General features: G+C 39.0%; 1 pseudogene across 1 annotated transcript in view; it reads left to right on the forward strand.

Annotated features, from left to right (window-relative positions):
- The first annotated feature begins 9,958 nt into the window (after positions 1 to 9,958).
- Positions 9,959 to 21,848, forward strand: part of EFL1P1 (elongation factor like GTPase 1 pseudogene 1) — a 46,415-nt pseudogene continuing 34,525 nt past the window's right edge. Inside the window, exons 1-4 of the transcript NR_036652.1 lie at positions 9,959 to 10,098; positions 10,918 to 11,017; positions 13,972 to 14,039; positions 19,981 to 20,065. The product of NR_036652.1 is annotated as an elongation factor like GTPase 1 pseudogene 1 (transcript). The remainder of the gene's footprint in view (positions 10,099 to 10,917; positions 11,018 to 13,971; positions 14,040 to 19,980; positions 20,066 to 21,848) is intronic.

Genomic DNA, 21,848 nt, shown 5'->3' on the forward strand with positions numbered 1-21,848 from the left:
AGATCCCTCCCAGCTTCGAGTTGTCCCGCCTTTCCGGAAGAACCAATATTCATCTTACATATATGTTGACTGATGTGTGTTTCCCTAAAACGTATAAAACCAGACTGTGCTCTGAACACCTTGGGCACATATTATTGGTACCTCCTGAGGCTGTGTCACCGGCATGCGCCCTCAACCTTGGCAAAATAAACTTTCTAAATAAACCGAGACCTATCTCAGATATTTGGGGTTCACAAACTTACTGACATTTTTATACTTAACACCAAGATTGTACCTTGAATACAATACATACATTAACAGTTTAAATAAAATAATAAGTAAATATAATACTTAATCCACCTAACTGACAATATACAGAGAGATCAAAAAAGGTAAGTCCAAATGAAAAGTATAGACTTAAGAGGATTTTTGTTCATCACTCACTGAACAAAATATTGGGTACCTACTATGTGCTAGTAGGCATTGTATTCCTTTTCTAAAAATAGAATGCTGAGATAACAATAGACTTAGTTTCTGCTTTCATGAAACACTGAAACTAATCTAATGATAAATAACAGGAAGGTGCTTTGGGAGCTTACATAGAAGACTTTTACCTAATCTGAAAAGTGTCAGAGAAGGCTTTTTCAAGTGATAATTTAGTTGAGATCTGCAGATTGAATGAGCATTAGCTAGGAGAGGGAAGGAAAATTGCAGGTAGGGAAAATAGTATCTTGGAAGACCCTGAGACAAGGAAACCTGGCACTTTTCAAAGACATGAAAAATGGCCCATGGGATGGAGCATAAAAGAGTGAAAAGGACGCTACAGTGAAAATGAATTAGAGAAGTAAGTAGTGAGCAAACCATGCCTCTACATGGTTTTGGTAAGGATTCTGGTTTGTGTTAAACACAATGGGAAAGTTTAAGAGTATTTTAAGCAGAAAAGTGATAGGATTTGGTTTGCATTTGGGCAGGCTGAAGTATTGAAAACAGATCAAACTGCAAAAACTAGAGTAGATTCACATATGATACTTAGAAAGTGACTGCATTCCTCTAGGCCAAGCTTGTCCAACCTGCGGCATATGGGCTGCGTGTGGCCCAGGATGGCTTTGAATGAGGTCCAATACAAATTCGTAAACTTTCTTAAAACATTATGAGATTTTTTGTGTGTGATTTTTTTTTTTTTTTGCTCATCAGCTATGGTTGGTGTTATTGTATTTTACGTGTAGCCCAAGACAAGTCTTCTTCCAGTGTGGCCCAGGGAAGCCAAAAGATTGGACACCCTGCTCTAGGTGGTGGTGACAAACAGTGGAAAATAGATAAATATGAGATATTTTAGGAAGTTAAAAAAAATAGAACTTTTTATATCCCTTTTTTCTTCTCACACTTTGTCAACCTAATTCTCATTTTTCTGTTTTTTTCAAGTTGTGACTTAACTAGTCTCTTACTTATTAGATTGGTTCAACTTAAATCAATGAAACAGTAATTAAATAGCTAGAAAATTTTATTGACACCAGAATAGTTGCGAGAAAAATAAGTAAAGCAAATAGTTACTAAATGTTTACTTAAATGTAGTTATTCCTTCCATTTTACCACGGCATGCTCGAATTTCTTGCTTGGGTTTAAGACTCTGAGGTGGAAGAACATTGTTATACATAGGATATTTTTCCAAATATTCAGTTGTAGGGCAAAACACCCCAGAATTTTCATAAATCCTTGTGGTTCCACGTGGACAAGGATGTCGCCTGTGCAAAAAACAAACTGAAAGATGATTAACCTTAAAAAACATTTTGTGTTGTAATTGCATTTTAATCAGAGACCTCCAATAAACTCACAATTTCTAAATTCTAGAGCTTTACTGAAAAAAAAAACTGTTTCCTCTGTAATGGTGTTTATAAAAACAATCAATAAATAATGGTCTATCCCTATGTGGTAGAAACACAACTATTAAGTGTCTCAAACAATTTAGTGTCTTGTTACACTATAGAAGCTGAAAAGCTAATAGGGAATTTCCCATGCTCTTGCAGAAAGGTTCCACATACAATTTAGGTTTCACCTACTATATGTATTCACATGATACTTTGATTCAGAAGAGAGCTACATAAGGAGAGAGTCAAAGCACAACATTTATTTTGCTTGCATGGAATGTAATAGAGGCAACAAGAGATTGGAGCTAGAAGTTGTTAGGTGGCATCTTGATTTGCAAGCTGGTTTCCTAACTTGGCAGCTTCTTGACCTTGGAAGAGACGAGTGATTCTGGACTCTACAGCTCTGTTGCAAGTTTCTGATTATGGCAGAGGCAGTGGCTCCCTTGTCAGTCCTGGTCTGTGGTAAAATTTTTGTGGAAGCTTATTTTGAAAATGATTTCTTAAGTTCTTCCAGGTGAACTATATATATACTCCTTAATAAATTCCCTTTTGCCTAAACTAACAAGAGGAGATTATGTTATCCATAACTAAGAACCTTGACCAATATATCACATAAGCTAATAGTATACAGTAGAGTTATTTAAGAGAATGAGGGTGGCCTTTATGCATGGTCACTGGAAGATGGTGAGATTGTAAATAGTAAAAAACTGGATTGTAGAATAGTATGCTCAGGGTTTTCCGTTCCAAAATGGTCGAATAGGAACAGCTCCGGTCTGCAGCTCGCAGCGTGATCCACACAGAAGATGGTGATTTCTGCATTTCCAACTGAGCCTCCACTGGTGATACCCAGGCAAACAGGGTCTGGAGTGGACCTCCAGCAAACTCCAACAGACCTGCAGCTGAGGGACCTGACTCTTAGAAGGAAAACTAACAAACAGAAAGGAATAGCATCAACATCAACAAAAAGGACATCCACACCAAAATCCCACCTGTAGGTCACCAGCATCAAAGACCAAAGGTAGATAAAACCACAAAGATGGGGAGAAACCAGAGCAGAAAAGCTGAAAATTCTAAAAACCAGAGTGCCTCTTCTCCTCCAAAGGATCGCAGTTCCTCACTAGTAATGGAACAAAGCTGGATGGAGAATGACTTTGACGAGCTGACAGAAGGAGGCTTCAGAAGACCGGTAATAACAAACTTCTCCGAGCTAAAGGAGGATGTTCGAAGCCATTGCAAGGAAGCTAAAAACCTAGAAAAAAGATTAGACAAATGGCTAACTAGAATAAACTGTGTAGAGAAGACCTTAAATGACCTGATGGAGCTGAAAACCATGGCACGAGAACTACGTGATGCATGCACAAGCTTCAGTAGCCAATTCGATCAAGTGGAAGAAAGGGTATCAGTGATTGAAGATCAAATTAATGAAATAAAGTGAGAGGAGAAGTTTAGAGAAAAAAGAGTGAAAAGAAACAAAGCCTCCAAGAAATGTGGGACTATGTGAAAAGACCAAATCTACGTTTGATTGGTGTACCTGAAAGTGACTGGGAGAATGGAACCAAGTTGGAAAACACTCTTCAGGATGTTATCTAGGATATTATCCCCAACCTAGCAAGGCAGGCCAACATTCGAATTCAGGAAATACAGAAAACACCACAAAGATACTCCTGGAGAAGAGCAACCCCAAGGCACATAATTGTCAGATTCACCAAGGTTGAAATGAAGGAAAAAATGTTAAGGGCAGCCAGAGAGAAAGGTCAGGTTACCCACAAAGGAAAGTCCATCAGACTAATAGCAGATCTCTCGGTAGAAACTCTACAAGCCAGAAGAGAGCGGGGGCCAATATTCAACATACTTATAGGAAAGAATTTTGAACCCAGAATTTCATATCCAGCCAAACTAAGCTTCATAAGTGAATGAGAAATAAAATCCTTTACAGACAAGCAAATATTGAGAGATTTTTGTCACCACCAGGCCTGCCTTACAAGAGCTCCTGAAGGAAGCACTAAACATGGAAAGGAACAACTGGTACCAGCCACTGCAAAAACATGCCAAATTGTAAATACCATTGATGCTAGGAAGAAACTGCATCAACTAACAGGCAAAATAACCAGCTAACATCATAATGACAGGATCAAATTCACACATAACAATATTAACCTTAAATGTAAATGGGCTAAATGCCCCAATTAAAAGACACAGACTGGCAAATTGGATAGAGTCAAGACCCATCAGTGTGCTGTATTCAGGAGACCCATCTCGCGTGCAGAAACACACATAGGCTTAAAATAAAGGGATGGAGGAAGATCAAATAAGCAAATGGAAAGCAAAAAAAAAAAAAAGCAGGGGTTGCAGTCCTAGTCTCTGATAAAACAGACTTTAAACCAACAAAGATCAAAAGAGACAAAGACGGCCATTACATAATGGTAAAGGAATCAATTCAACAAGAAGAGGTAACTATCCTAAATATATATGCACCCAATGCAGGATCACCCAGATTCATAAAGCAAGTCCTTAGAGACCTACAAAGAGACTTAAAGACTCCCAGACAATAATAACTGGATACTTTAACACCCCACTGTCAATATTTTAGACAGATCAACAAGACAGAAGGTTAACAAGGATATACAGGACTTGAACTCAGCTCTGCACCAAGCAGACCTAATAGACATCTACAGAACTCTCCACCCCAGATCAGCAGAATATACATTCTTCTCAGCACCACATCACACTTATTCCAAAATTGACCCCATAGTTGGAAGTAAAGCACTCCTCAGCAAATGTAAAAGAACAGAAATCATAACAAACTCTCTCAGACCACAGGACAATCAAATTAGAACTCAGGATTAAGAAACTCACTCAAAACTACACAACTACATGGAAACTGAACAACCTGTTCCTGAATGACTACTAGGTAAATAATGAAATTAAAGCAGAAATAAAGATGTTATTTGAAACCAATGAGAACAAAGACACAACATACCAGAATCTCTGGGACACATTTAAAGCAGTATGTAGAGGGAAATTTATACCACTAAATGCCCACAAGAGAAAGCAGGAAAGACCTAAAATCGACACCCTAACATCACAATTAAAAGCACTAGACAAGCAAGAGGAAACACATTCAAAAGCTAGCAGAAGACCAGAAATAACTAAGATCAGAGCAAAACTGAAGGAGATAGAGACACAAAAAAACCCTTCAAAAAATCAATGAATCCAGGAGCTGGTTTTTTGAAAAGATAAACAAAATTGATAGACCGCTAGCAAGACTAATAAAGAAGAAAAGAGAGAAGAATCAAATAGACACAATAAAAAATGATAAAGGGGATATCACCACAGATCCCACAGAAATACAAACTACCATCAGAGAATACTATAAACAGCTCTATGCAAATAAACTAGAAAATCTAGAAGAAATGGATAAATTCCTGGACACATACACCCTCCCAAGACTAAACCAGGATGAAGTTGAATCTCTGAATAGACCAATAACAGGCTCTGAAATTGAGGCAATAATTAATAGCTTACCAACCAAGAAAAGTCCAGGACCAGATGGATTCACAGCCGAATTATACCTGAGGTACAATGAGGAGCTGGTCCAATTCCTTCTGAAACTATTCCAATCAATAGAAAAACAGGGAATCCTCCCTAACTCATTTTATGAAGCCAGCATCATCCTGATACCAAAGCCTGGCAGAGACACAACAAAAAAAGAGAATTTTAGACCAATACCTTGATGAACATTGATGCAAAAATCCTCAATAAAATACTGGCAAACCGAATCCAGCAGCACATTAGAAAACTTATCCACCATGATCAAGTTGGCTTCATTCCTGGGATGCAAGACTAGTTCAACATATGCAAATCAATAAACGTAATCCATCATATAAACAGAACCAACGACAAAAACAACATGATTATCTCAATAGATGCAGAAAAGGCCTCTGACAAAATTCAACAGCCTTTCATGCTAAAAACTCTCAATAAACTAGGTAATGATGGAATGTATCTCAAAACAATAGGAGCTACTTATGACAAACCCACAGCCAATATCATACTGAATGGGCAAAAACTGGAAGCATTCCCTGTGAAAACTGGCACAAGACAGGGATGCCCTCTCTCACCACTCCTATTCAACACAGTGTTGGAAGTTCTGGCCAGGGCAATCAGGCAAGAGAAAGAAATAAAGCATATTCAATTAGGAAAAGAGGAAGTCAAATTGTCCCTGTTTGCAGATGACATGATTGTATATTTAGAAAACCCCATCGTCTCAGCCCAAAATCTCCTTAAGCTGATAAGCAATTTCAGCAAAGTCTCAGGATACAAAATCAATGTGCAAAAATCACAAGCATTCCTATACACCAATAACAGACAAACAGAGAGCCAAATCATGAGTAAACTCCCATTCACAATTGCTACAAAGAGTATAAAATACCCAGGAATCCAACTTACAAGGGATGTGAAGGACTTCTTCAAGGAGAACTACAAACCACTGCTCAATGAAATAAAAGAGGACACAAACAAATGGAAGAACATTCTATGCTCATGGATAGGAAGAATCAATATCGTGAAAATGGCCATACTGCCCAAGGTAATTTATAGATTCAATGCCACCCCATCAAGCTACCAATGACTTTCTTCACAGAATTGGAAAAAACTACTTTAAAGTTCATATGGAACCAAAAAAGAGCCTGCATTGACAAGACAATCCTAAACAAAAAGAACAAAGCTGGAGGCATCACATTATCTGACTTCAAACTATACTACAAGGCTACATCAACCAAAACACCATGGTACTGGTACCAAAACAGAGAGATAGACCAACAGAAAAGAACAGAGCCAGCTGGGTGTGGTGGCTCACGCCTGTAATCCCAGCACTTTGGGAGGCCAAGGCGAGTGGATCACGAGGTCAGGAGATCGAGACCACGGTGAAACCCCATCTCTACTAAAAATACAAAAAATTAGCCGGGCGTGGTGGTGGGCTCCTGTAGTCTCAGCTACTCGGGAGGCTGAGGCAGGAGAATGGCGTGAACCCAGGAGGCGGAGTTGCAGTGAGCCGAGATTGCGCCACTGCACTCCAGCCTGGGTGACAGATCGAGACTCCGTCTCAAAAAACAAAACAAAACAAAACAAAAAGAACAGAGCCCTCAGAAATAATACCACACACCTACAACTATCTGATCTTTGACAACCCTGACAAAAACAAGAAATGGGGAAAGGATTCCCCATTTAAGAAATGGTGCTGGGAAAACTGGCTAGCCATATGTAGAAAGCTGAAACTGGATCCCTTCTTTACACCTTATACAAAAATTAATTCAAGTTGGATTAAAGACTTAAATGTTAGACCTAAAACCATAAAAACCCTGGAAGAAAACCTAGGCAATACCATTCAGGACATAGGCATGGGCAAGGACTTCATGACTAAAACACCAAAAGCAATAGCAACAAAAACCAAAATAGACAAATGAGATCTAATTAAACTAAAGAGCTTCTGCACAGCAAAACAAACTACCATCAGAGTGAACAGGTAACCTATAGAATGGGGAAAATTTTTGCAATCTACCCATCTGACAAAGGGCTATCCAGAATCTACAAAGAACTTACATTTACAAGAAAACAAACAATCCCATTAAAAATTGGGCAAATGATATGAACAGACACTTCTCAAAAGGAGACATTTATGCAGCCAACAGACACATGAAAAAATGCTCATCATCACTGGTCATCAAAGAAATGCAAATCAAAACCACAATGAGATACCATCTCACACCAATTAGAACGGCGATCATTAAAAAGTCGGGAAACAACAGGTGCTAGAGAGGATGTGGAGAAATAGGAATGCTTTTACACTGTTGGTGGGATTGTAAACTAGTTCAACCATTGTGGAAGACAGTGTGGCGATTCCTCAAGGATCTAGAACTAGAAATACCATTTTACCCAGCAATCCCATTACTGGGTATATATCCAAAGAATTATAAATCATGCTACTATAAAGACACATGCACACATATGTTTATTGTGGCACTATTCACGATAGCAAAAACTTGGAACCAACCTAAATGTCTATCAATGATAGACTGGATTAAGAAAATGTGGCACATATACACCATGGAATACTATGCAGCCATAAAAAAGGATGAGTTCATGTCCTTTGAAGGGACATGGATGAAGCTGGAAACCATCATCCTGAGAAAACTATCACAAAGGCAGAAAACCAAATACTGCATGCTGTCACTCATAGGTGGGAATTGAACAATGAGAACACTTGGACACAGGGCGGGGAACATCACACACAAGGGCCTGTCATGGGGTGGGGGCAGGGGAATGGATAGCATTAGGAGAAATACCTAATGTAAATGATGAGTTAATGGGTGCAGCAAACCAACATGGCACATGTATACCTATGTAACAAACCTGCACATTGTGCACATTTACCCTAGAACTTAAAGTATAATAATAATAAAAAAAAAAACCTTCAAAGGAATAAAAAAAAAGAATAGTATGCTCAGAATATTCTCCTTTTTTGTTAAAAAAAAAAATCTATGCAGGCTGGGTGCAGTGGTTCATGACTGTAATCCCAGTACTTTGGGAGGCCGAAGCAGGCAGATCATGAGGTCAGGAGATAGAGGCCAACATGGTGAAACCCCGTCTCTACTAAAAATACAAAAATTAGTTGGGTGCGGTGGCGCGTGCCTGTAATCCCAGCTACTCGAGAGGCTGAGGCAGGATAATTGCTTGAACCCAGGAGGCAGAGATTGCAGTGAGCCGAGATTGTGCCACTGCACTCCAGCCTGGCAACAGAGCAAGACTCTGTCTCAAAAAAAAAAAAAAGAAAATAAAAGAAAAAAATCAATGCATATGTAAAACAAGTCTTAAAGAACATTTGTTATCTGTGGAAGATAGAATTATGAAGGCGTTTTACAATATTATAGATATTTTTGCTCAAATTTTTATGACACCTCATGTGTATTTATTTATTGCATTATCAGAAAATAAAGACAAAACCCTTAAAAAACAAAAAAAAACACAACCAAAAACAAACAAACAAAAAGTAAAATCACACCATTCTAAGGGTAGCCCTCAACATAATGAAGACTGAATTTCCTAACAGTTAAAGGAACTTACGTTGAATATGAATTAGAAAAAAAGTAAAAATTTTCTCCTGCACCCCAGTCTGCAGATTCATACACCCAAAGTTAATTTGTTGATATTTTAATCTACGTCTAATTACAAACTGTGTTTATTATGAGACTATCAAAAAAACTGCTTTCCATCAACATGAAGGTGTTTTCTTTGAAGAGGATTACAAATACAAAGGGATTGACACGTTCATATTTATTTAGCAAATAATGATCTAATCCCTGGGTCAGCTGAAGCTAAGTAAGGAGAAGACTGTGTTCATAGGTGATGGAAGGTTGTTAGGCAGGACTCACAGTTGGATTCTAGGTTTCAGGGTGGGGACTACTGTACTGCCTTTCAGTCAGGCGGATCCCAAAGAACTGCTGCCTGGACGGGAATGGGAATATGGTCTGGCTGGGAGGATAGAAAGGTGCAGATGAAAGAAAATGTGATATGGGTTGCAGACTCAGGGCCTTGAGCACTGTTCTTTCTCATCTTTGTGGTGGGGGATTATGGGGTGGAAATGCACTCTCCCAGTCGGATCACATCCCACTACTCACCAGCGTTATATCCCGTCGCTGCTTCACATATATTATTTACCTGGCCCGGGTGGCATTTTACTTTGCATCCTTGATTGGGAGTCTCAGGGGCTACGAACAAACGTTTTATCCCCGGGTAGCCGGCGGGTGCGGAGCGAGTATTCGTGGGGCGGGATAAGTGCGGAAGTCGCTGCGCCCTCGTCCCTTCATCTCCGGGGGACGGCCACTCTCAGGGTTCCCGAGGAGCCCGCTCCGTGCACCTAGGCCCTAGGTCGGCTCCCAAGCCCTGGCCCGCCGCTACACCAGCGGTTTCTTACCCGCAAGTACAAATGTGACACAGACACCAGCTCCTCGTGCTCTTGGCTCCCAGGGTTTCTTTCACCGCGCCTCAGCACCTGCAGCTTCTCCACTCTTACAGCGCCCGCCGTCGTCAAGGCAACAGAGGGATGCCCGGTGACAGACTCGGCGCCGGCTTCCGGCGCCGTAAGAGAAGCGTCCGCGCGGGCGTTCTGGACCCGCAGAGTTCTCGGCGTTTCCGAAGCTCTTGGTGTGGCCGGGACCCGGGAGAAGGAGCAGGGCTGGTGGGGCTGCTGCAGCCGGTGAGTGTGTGCTGGCGCTGGGGGCTGGAACCTCCTAGGCCAGTCTCTGGGCGGTGCCGCAGGACCCTGCTCGCTGCGGCTCTGAGGCGGAAACAGGGGCTGGGGCCGAGCGCGGGCTGGAAGCTTTGGTCCCTGGAGTGTCGCTTCCAGTCTGGGGCCGAGGCGGTCGCCTGTGTAGACCCGGGATCCTCAAATAGAACGAATCCGGGACCCTGCAGAAATGAAGGGCATGTAGTGTAGAGGTTTTTCCTTTTTATTTAGAAAGGAATGAAAGACCGACAGTGCACCTGCTTGGATAGTAAGCACGTGACCCAAAACTTTGTTGGGGCTCTATGGGCAGGAATAAAGCTGGGTATTTGACCTCGCGCGAGGACGAGCGAGAATGTCAGAATGAGGGACTTGAGGGAAGACTGAAGAGAGAAAGGGAGCATCTTCTTCAGCATTTTCTCTCCCTCCTGGATGCAACCCTTCCTGTACGTGGTCATTGGCCTGGAGATGTTTACTGGAGTACTCCTCCACCGGCAGGGTTACTGGTGTCACTGTGCACCCAGCCCCCACGAGCTGAGTGATTCATCGCAGCCTTCGGATCCGGAAGGATGAGCAAACTCCTTAAGTATAATCGTGGTAGGATACTGACTTTAGTGCTCGAACTGGACTTAGGCCTTGGTGGTCTATCTCATCAATAAACATTCACTGGGTTCTTGGTTTAAGGGGTTTGAGAAGCCTTGCCACCTCCCAGCGTTTATTATTATTTTTTTCTTTTGCCCCAACCTTTAGCCTCTGGGCCATTTGTAATACATATTTAATTTTTTGACACAGGAAATAATCATGGTGCTCAACAGTTTGGATAAGATGATTCAACTCCAGAAAAACACTGCCAACATCAGGAATATTTGTGTTTTGGCTCATGTTGACCGTGGTAAGAATACTTTTTAAATGGCTTATTTTGATAAATAAGGGAGGTGTGTCTCTGTATGCCTCAGTGGAGTGAAGCTGTGGGCAGCTGAGAGTGGTGTTTGCTAAGAAGCAAGTCTTTCCTTTAAAAGTTTTCTGTGATGTTAGGGAAGCCTGCTTTGCTATAAGGCATTTGAAATGAACACGGTTACCTAGTGAGTAGCATTCTTCTATATATTATGTCATGTTGTTTTTTAAACCAGAACTTGAATTTTTTGTTTTCGAAATGGCTTTACGTATAAAATGTCTGTAGCCTTAACATAACGTCTTTAGAGTCTGTGGTATGCAATCCTGTTTAATTCATCAGATATTTATCAAACGTCTGTTAAGTTCAAGATATTTTGCCAAGTATGTCAGAACGTGGAGATTTATGAGTAGGGCACCAGCCCAGCTGTAGAGGAGGTTTTTTTTGTTGGGGGAGGACGGAATTTCCCTCTTGTTGCCCAGGCTGGAGCTGTAGAGGAGGATTTAAGGGGGAGCAGAGGAAAATGAGACAAACATGAGAAAAAAGTAGACTCTAATGTCGGGAGAACTAGAGGATTGAGAAATGAGGGATTAAGAAAAGGCCTCACAACATAATTAATATTAGAGATGACACTTGAAGGTGGCTCAAGATGACAAATGGAGATAAACATTACAAGTGGGAATGTGTCATCAAGGGGTGAAGGAAATGTAAGTGGTCAAAGCCCAGCATCTGGGAAAGGCAGAGATAGCCAACGCGTGGTGTGTGTGCTTCTGACCGATACTGCTGTAACCCCATAGCGCTCCCTCGTGCTAAGCCTCCTCTTCAAACCCCTTCGTAGTTTAGGTAGCCATAGCAAAGTGATTGGGATGGGCATGTGAAATAAAGTCTATTTACCATCCTAAAGGTGAAGGACTAGTCGGCGAGGTGAAGAAGCAGGCTGAGTCATATTTCATAGGAACTAGGCTAAGAGTTAAGTGCTCCAGCTCTGAAGTTAGACAACCTGAGTTCAGATCTCCATTTTCAAGTTACGTACTTTGCCTTCCTGAGCTTCATTATACAGCATCTGTAAAACAGGATGAAAACTATACCCACTTTATAGGCTATAGGATTAAATGTGATAATAATGAGAGGGAACATAAATGCTTCACCATGAAAACGATTATTAACGTCTACTATTAGGCAGTAGGGAACCTTTGAGGGGGAACAAATGCTTCACCATGAAAACGATTATTAACGTCTACTATTAGGCAGTAGGGAACCTTTGAGGGGAAACATGGAGCAGGACTGATGTAATCAAATAAAACATGAGAAAGATTAGACTGGTGGACATGCTTAGGATGGATCCAAAGTCAGAGGATAGGTGGCTGTTGTCATTGATAGAAGAGCTGAAGTGATGTGAGTATGGAAACTGAAAGACAGACAGATAGTGGATCACTTTACAAGTGAAGCCAGCTGAGAATGAGTTTTAGTACAAATCCAGTGAGTAACCCCTGCCTCCATGAGTTTTTATAATTTTACTGCTCACATTTTGAGAATGTGAAGGCTGATAAAAGGGTTTTTTTTCTTTATGAATTTAATCAAGTGGAAAGTCAGTGGGGTGTAACAAATTACTTTAAATGTATTGTTTAAAATTATGTTAAACTGGTACTATCCTAGAAAACCTGTGATTCATTCAACAAGTATTTTCTGAAGGTCTTCTATATGACAAAGCATTGTTCTGGTCCTAGGGATACCGCTGTGAGTAAAGCAAAGTTCCTGCTTGCTTGATAATTATTTCCTAGGGAAGTATATACTTGATGTACTTAGAATAAATTCGGCTTTATTGGGTTGCAGGAAAGTGATGCTCTAGGATTATATGCTAATACATATTTACATGGCAGACAGATAACACAGTGTTAAATATCTTCAGTTCTCCTACTCATTGGTCTCTGGTTTGAACTATACAGAGATTGCATAGCTTTGCTGAAGTTCCTAAAGTGCAATAAAGACTTATCTTGAAGGAAAAAACCCTCATTTGCTTACTCCAACCCAGTTGTAGTAATTATGCATACCCATAACATTCTTTAAACAGAATCACCTGTTTATACCACACAAAATTGCATAGAGTTTAGTTGTATGTAGTCTGTTTAATAAAGGTAACTATAAATATATACAAAGATTCTTTTGCTATAAAGTAGATTCCTATGTTTAGATTTGGATACTAGGTTTCATTGGTTGTTATAGTTTATGGCCTCCACGGGCTATATTACAAACAGTAAGAGATATGGGTAAAGTTCCTGAATTTCTTTGATAAATAAGTGTTTTCTTGAGACAGTTTAACTAGCAAATTCCAGCTGAGGCCATGCATGGGGAAGTATGGCAGAAGAGTATGTTCAATTGTTTATTGATGATGTTTTACCCAGTATGCGTTTCAGAGAAAAAAAAATTACTGCATTTTGTCATTCTGTGCTGTCAGGGGCTTAATTTGATAAACATGGTCATGGTTCTGGATATGGGATAATTGATGTAGTAATTGTGATAAACTTGATCAAATTCTTAGAGGACAAATTATAGTAACTGTGTAAAACTCATCAGGTATTCTATATTTTGATTGGTTTGGTGGTTTGCCCTATCACGGAAAAGTGTGTTTTTCTCTGTATAAAGTCTGCCTCAATTTAAGAAAAATTCTCTACTTTAAGAAAAGTTGCTTGACAACTTTCAGATGAGGTTGATTAGATCCACAGGGTTGGAGATAAGATTCCAGCATTAGAGAGTGCTAGCATCTGTGTCCTTCCAGATGATAGTCTGTTCAAGAGTCTAATCAAACTCTTTTGTCTTTTTCACCTAGCATAGGTAAATAGAAAATCTTTACTAAACCAATTGTTATGACCAGATTTTAAATCTATAGGTATGATCCATCCCATGACCCCTTTTTAAAAAGACATAGATTTGAATCGATGTTGCTGTTTTAACAGGAAAAACTACTCTGGCTGACTGTCTTATATCTAGCAATGGAATCATCTCCAGCCACCTAGCAGGCAAGGTATGTTATTATTTTATAAATACTCGTTGCATTTCAGTATTAGCTGTCAACAATGTGATGAACTATTTTCTGTGTTCTTTAGCGATCCAAAAGGGTATAAAATATAGTTCTTGCATATAAAAGCTGCCAATCCATTTTGCAAGATAAAATTGCTGGCAAGAAAAACAGTTACTTCTATATTGTTTGTATTGCTTTATATTAATATTTTGTAAGTGCAAAAGTGAGTTTTTGCAACAAGCAAATGATACCCAATTGTGGAAGATTTCACAGCAAAAGATTCTTTGTAGGTGAACGAATTGGGTGGTTTGAGGAGAAGACAGAAAAGCTATCAGGTGGTGGGAAATAACATGGATAAAGGCTAATTTGTGTGTTGTGCTTTGAGTGGAGCATTTGCCTAGAGACTAATGAGAGAGAAAACACACTGGCAGGGAGAATGTATAAGATGATAGAAGACCTTAAAAGTTAACCTAAGTATCAAAGGAAAGCTGCTTATGCCTGAAGATTGTGATGAAAATAATGAAAAGAATGGGTTTTTTGGTTTTTGTTTTTGAGACAGGATCTCACTCTGTTGCCCAGGCTAGAGTGCAGTGGTGTGATCATGCACGGCTCACTGCAACCTCGCCCTCTTGAGCTCAGGTGATCCTCCCACCTCAGCCTCTCGGGTACTAGGGACTACAGGTGCACGCCACCACACCTGGCTAATTTTTTTTGTAGAGACAGGGTTCTGCCATGTTCCCCCAGGCTTATCTTGAACTCCTGGGCTCAAGCAATCCTCCTGCCTTGACTTCCTAAAGCGCTGGAATTACAGGTGTCAGCCACCATACATAGCCTGAAAATAGTGTTTGAGGAGATAAAGAGATCTTTATTTGTAGCTATGAGTTGAAAGGGCTTGGAATAATTTACTTGGCAGTAGAAAAATAAAAATATATTCATTTCTATAATGAATTTAGGATATGAACAACAGGGTTTATCAGGTGACAGAGAATAGAGAGAAGAGGAGATGGAGAAGCAAAATTGAATCCACAGAGTAGATCCAGTAGACTTGAAGGTCGATTTGGGAATTGATGTGTGGGTTGGGAGGGAAGCTGGCCCAAGATACTATCTAGAGGAGGCTGAAAAAAACTAGGTTGAGTGAAATAATGAAATGCTTATATTTTCCCCACTTGAGAATTTAGAGAAAGTATAATAACTCTAAAGTAGATGAAAGGAAATAATAAAGCATGAATTACTGAAATAGTAAACAGACATTTTATAGAAAGGATCAGTGAAGCCACAGTTTGTTTTTGGATAAGATTAACATAACTAATGAAGAGTGAACCCTAATGTGAACTATGGACTTTAATTAATCATAATGCATCCATATTGGTTCATCAGTTGTAACAAATGTATCACATTATATACTAATACAATATAGATATAATGGGGAAACTATGTGTTGGTGGGAAGAGAGAGTATGTGGGAAACTTCAGTCGATTCTTCCGTGAACTTAAAGTTGCTCTAAAAATATAAAGTTTATTAATGTAAACAATTACTAGCAATATAGACAATTTTTGATTGTCTTGACTAGAAAACTTTTTTGTTTTGCTTTTCATTGACATTGTTGAGGAACATTTGACACTTTTGACCTGCTAATGTTCCCAATGTGGCTCACTGTACTTTGGACATATACAAAGCATAGTATATATAAATAAATACTTTTGAATGAATGACTTTAAAGAAGGGTAACACAACTGGCAAAACACCAGCAAGATGATCAAGAAGAAAAGAGAGGAGGCAGAAATAAGTGATACCCAGAAAGAAAAATGCTACAGAAGTGAATACGGTAATAATAGGATATAATGAACAACTTTATGCCAGTAAACTTAAAAGTGCTAAAATGGAAAAATGTCTGGAAAACATAACTTGCTAAAGTGGAGTCAAGAAGAAATAGGAAACTTGAATTATTCTATAGTCATTTAAGAAATTGAATTGGCTGTTAAAAATCTTTCCATAAAGAAAAGACCCAGATGGTTTAACTCTCTAGTTCTGCCAAACATTCAAAGAACAAATAATTTCAGTCCTACTTAAACCGTTGCAAAATATAGCAGAGAAAAACCCAACAATCGGCAGTATTCTCCAAATCATATGAAGATAGCATAACTTTGATACCAAAAGTCTGTTAAGGATAATACAAGACAGGAGAATTGCATACCAACCTTGTGATTATGGATGCAAAAATTATCATCCTCGTTAACAAACAGAATTCAGCATAGTATAAAAAGATGATTATTCATATCCAAATCGAGTTTATCCCAAGGAATTCAAGATTGGTTTAACATGTAATTTCACTATATTAACGGATTAAAGGAAGAAAATCATGATCATGTCAACAGATATAGAAGACATAGTAAAATTCAATATCTATTGTGATAAAACCTCTTTGCAATGTAGTTACAGAAGAGAACCTCTGTAATCTGATGTGGGATATTTGTAAAAAACCTACAATGAAGATTGAGCTTAATGATGAAGTGTTAAAACTTTTCTATTCATAGCCAGGAATAAGGCAAGTATGGCCGTCACACCCTTCTGCTCATTGTGTTATAACTTCTACTTTACATTGTACTGGAGGTTCTAGTTGCAGTGATAAAGCTGGAAAGAAAAATTAAAAGTGTGAATTTTGGACAGGAAGAAGAAATGTAGATAAATTGCTAGGATATTAGTAACAATTTGGCAGGTTTCAGGATATGAAAACCATTGAAAAGAATACATGAGCAATAAATAGATAATATACAGAAATTTAAATACATTAAACCATTTAAATAGCATAAAAAATGTACCTGTGCTGGGCATGGTGGCTCAGGCCTATAATCCCAGCTACTTAGGAAGCTGAGGCAGGACAATTGCATGAACCCAGGAGTTTGAGGCTGCAGTGAGCTGTGACAGCAACTGCACTCCAGCCTGGTGGATAGCACAAGACCCCATCTCTTCAAAAACAACAAAAACAACAACAATAACAACAAAACCTATAAGATATTGGAGAAAACTAAGACGTATTATGAATGTATTGATGTATTGTAACCTGTGGCCTGGAATCGGCTGAGGCATGAAATTGACTGATGGCTCAGAATAGTAGGCCTAGAATAGTAGGCTGGCATTTCAGATCTGTGGGAAAAAGATGAACCTTTCAAATGGTTCTTGGGCAATTGGTTATCCATGTGGAAAAAAAAATTGGACCTCTACTTAACACCACACACAAATCAATTGCACAGTTAAGATACTTATATTTAAAAGCAAAACTGTAAAGCTTTTAGAAAATAATATGGGCTAATATTTTTATGACCTTAAAGGAAGATTTCTTAAGACAAAAATGTGCAAACAATTTTATGAAAGGTTAATAAACTACTTAAAATTAAGAACATATTTATCAAAGATGCCAGAAAGAAATGGAAAAAACAAGCCTGGTAACTGTGAAAAATATTAATAACACACATATAATTGACAAAGGACTAATATTCAGAGATTATAAATAACTCCTATCCAAAACAAAATAAATCTTTATTACAACCAGTAGAAAGGTGGACAAAAGCCTTATATAGGCAGTTCACAGAAAAGGAATGTTAAATGGCCAATACAAGAAACTTATAAAGGGATACTTAATCCCATTAATAATAGGGGAAATGTAAATTAAAACCATGAGATGCTATTTATCACCCATCTTAAAAAATAAAGTCCAGCAATATCAGCTGTTGAAGTTATGTATCAAAAAAAGCACTATTCCACCGTGGATCAGTCCAACTATTTGGAAAATAATTTGGAAATATCAAGTTAGGTTGAGGATGTGCAGATTTAATAACTCAGAAATTCTACTGGTAGGGAGTGTACAAGAGACCAACAACTGTTCATATCAGCACAGTAATAGTTACAAAAAACTGGAATTGGTCTCCATGTCCATCAGTAATGCAATGGACGAATGGGTCTGGTAGATTTGTGAGGTGAAGTCCTACGGTAATAAAAATGAATGAATTACATCAATATGGCTGAATCTCAGGAAAACAATATTGAACAAATAAAACATGACAGTATAATATATTAAGTATGATTCTTATAGAAGGCTTAAAACTTGCCACTCTACATGATATATTGCTTAGTGACACACTCATTTTTAAAAATTATAAAGAAAATAAGGAAATGAACAAGATAAAATTCAAGATAGTGGTTACCTATAAGCCAGGAGCACAGGGTACTTCAAAAGTAACAAACTTTTTTTTCCTTTTGAAATGGGATGGTGCATACACAGGGGTTCATTGTGTTGTTATTTATGTATTACACATGTTTCATACCAACTCAGTGCTTAAAAACGTACATTATAGAAGACTGACAAGGGACTGAGACTTTTTGAAGGAAGGACTGATGGAGAGGTTGGAGAGGTGAAGGGAAACCAGCAGTGGGATCTGAGGAGAGATGGAGGTAAATTAAGAGGTTTCAGACTCTTGGAAGAATTTCACATATGCATGTAACACACATGCACACAAAGGGTAACTGTCATGTTGCACTGGAATCAAGAAAAATGAGGATTGAGAATGATTATTGCGTTTGGCCAGAGGTCATTGATAGCTTTTAGGACTTTGATTTTGCCAGAGCTGTGGAAATGGAAGCCTTTCTGAAAATTTCAGAATTAATGTGGATGAATAAATGTGGCAGTTCATATCAACCGATAATTCTTGGTGCTTTTGAATGAAAGAAAGGAGAAAATAGACAGGTTAAGAATTTTTCAAAAGTTTGACAGTGGAGAGAATGGAGGAAGGGTAAGGGAAAATCATTCTGGAGAAAGGAGGAGGAGGTTAGTCTGGTGCTTAGGGCTAAGGAGTTGGAAAGGGATGGGATCTTCATTTAAACGACACCACTGTCAGTACTGATGCACTGCAAGGCCTAGAAAATGAGATGTAGACACTCATTGGTGGGTATCACTGGGAAAATTATCAATTAAATGGTCATATTACAAATATTTTCTACTGTATTCTTTTTTAAAAAAAGATATATTCAAAATCTGTTAATTTGGGAAAGGGGTAAAGACACTTCTCTTGCCTCTAGAGACCTCTGTTTCAGTCTCTGCTCAGAATTTGTCAAACAGCTTATAAATAGGAAAAGAATGGCTGTGTTATTGATGTTTAGAAAGAATTCCCCCAAATGCTACTGTCTGTAAGTTGTTCTTGACCTGCCCCATCATTCATGGCTGATAGTTGGATGAGCAACACTCTGGGGAGGGTATGCAGTAGTTGAATACATTTATGAGTTCCTAGTGGTAATGTTTTTCATTTGTCATGTTCCCTTCCCGCCAACTAACTTCACTTCTCCATCCCCTCATCATCTTTAAAAAAAGAGAGAGGGCCAGGCGAGGTGGCTAATGCCTGTAATGCCAGTACTTTGGGAGACTGAGGTGGGTGGATCACCTGAGGTCAGGAGTTCAAGACCAGCCTGACCAACACGGTGAAACCCTGTCTCTACTAAAAATACAAAAATTAGCCAGGTGTAGTGGCACATGCCTGTAATCTCTGCTACTTGGGAGGCTGAGGCAGGAGAATCACTTGAACCTGGGAAGCAGAGGTTGCAGTGAGCCGAGATTGCGCTACTGCACTCCAGTCTGGACAGCAGCATAAGACTCTGTCTCAAAAAAAAAAAAAAAAAAAAAAAAAAAAGAGACGCTGTATAGTTTAAAATTTAAGTATTGCCTGGGCATGGTGGTTCACATCTGTTATCTCAGCTCTTTGGGAGGCCAAGGTGGGAGGATCACTTGAGGCTAGGAGTTCGAGACTAGTGCAGGCCACATAGCGAGACCCCGTCACTACAAAAATAAATAAAAATAAAAAATTTAAGTATTTAAAACAAAAATCTAAATTAGCAAATTTTAATGTTACATTTTAATTCTTTGGGAAGTGAAGATGCATATGTTGCATTTTTCCAGTTAAGGTACATGGACAGCAGAGAAGATGAACAGATCCGAGGGATCACTATGAAATCCAGTGCCATTTCCCTACATTATGCAACAGGTAAGTCAGTCTGTTTTAAAGAAACACAGCTTTGCATCTTTCATGTCCTCCTCTGTCTTTCTGAATTAATTGCATGCCTCAGTTTCTTTGCTTATATTCCACATATTTTATTCTGGCGTCTCCACATGACCTGTTGTCAGAGTTAGGCTGTCCAGGCTTGGATGCAGATGGAAACCTCTGACTGGTTTGAGGGCAGAAGAACTGGCAATTCACACCTGCCCCCTCCACCAGGTGATTATATGGATTCCTTCACAAGGAAAGTCAGGAGCCCTAGGACTTTAGCTGGTTCAGCCTTTCTATTCTGCCTCATGGCCTGGCCTGCATGTTAGATTTGGAGTCTTATTTACTTAAAAGTAGACTGCCATGATCAGTACCAGCTTGCTATCCTCAAATGAGGATGCTACTTTGATAGTAACACTTCTAGGAATTTATCTGACAGAAATATTCATGTAAGTGTGTGAGATACATGTCACTGATATTCACTAAAAAGTTTGTATTCGTGAAAAAAATACCAACAACCTGAATGTCAATAGGAGAATGGTTCAATAAACTGATACATCCAAGCGGTGAAATACTGTGCAGCTGTTAAAACAAATGTTTAATATATATGTTATTGTACAGGGGAAAATGGTATGTTCAGAGACAGAAAACAAATTGCAGAGTATTTTTGTAAGATATGAATGTGTTTGGATAATAAAAATATATTATATATGCAGATAAAGGTGTCTGGAAGGATACATACCAAACCCTTAACAGTAGCTCTCTGCAGGGGCTATGATTATGGAAAACTTGCACTTTTCAAAATATTTATTTTTGTGGTATTTGAAAATTTTACACAAAATGTATATTTTTGTAATTAGAAGAAAATAATAAAGATAAATTTTATTTCCCTAATGGACTTACCTGTGGTTCATCCTTCACAAGTGTCATATCTTTGGCACTGCCACCAAAAGATGTACTCTGTGGGGCATGGCTTTTGTACCAAACCAGTTTTGAAGCTCTTAGGCACATGAATTCTCAATGTTTAATGTTTAAAGTAACACTTCATTTTTTTAAAAAAACAATTCTCACATTTTAAAGGGTATGTTCTCATCCTGTGATCCAGAGAATGGGGTTGAGGGTCTATTCATTTCTTATCTCATTTTATAGACTTCAAGAGATTTGAAGGCTGCTTTCTTCTTTACTCAGATTATTAGTGTGCTTTTATTTGAAGATTCCTCTGGGGTCAGTTTTAGTTTTTCTGCTCTATACTTTGTCTATAGTCCCCCTCTCCTGACCCCTTTAACCACTTTATTAAGGTTTAATTTATATACCATAAAATTCACCTGTTCCAATTCACATTTGTCTTTCTGGTGTAGTATTGTAGGAGAATTTGCTATAGGACCCTGGGAATTGAGTGGTCTGAACTCTGTTTGGTTGAGCTCTGTGACCCTGGCTGCTCACAGATTATTTTAGGTACCCTTTTTTTTTTTTTTTTTGAGACAGAGTCTCGCTCTGTTGCCCAGGCTGGAGTGCAGTGGTGCAGTCTTGGCTCACTGCAACCTCCACCTCCCAGATTCACACCATTCTCCTGCCTCAGCCTCCCAAACAGCTGGGACTACAGGCACCCGCCACCATGCCTGGCTAATTTTTTTTTTTTTTTGTATTTTTAGTAGTGTCGGGGTTTCACCATGTTAGCCAGGATGGTCTCGATCTCCTGACCTCATGATCCACCCGCCTCGGCCTCCCAAAGTGCTGGGATTACAGGCGTGAGCCACCGCACCCGGCTCACTTTTTTTTTTTT

Source organism: Homo sapiens, chromosome 15 (genome assembly GCF_000001405.40).
Source record: "Homo sapiens chromosome 15, GRCh38.p14 Primary Assembly".
Classification (NCBI taxonomy): Eukaryota; Metazoa; Chordata; class Mammalia; order Primates; family Hominidae; genus Homo; species Homo sapiens.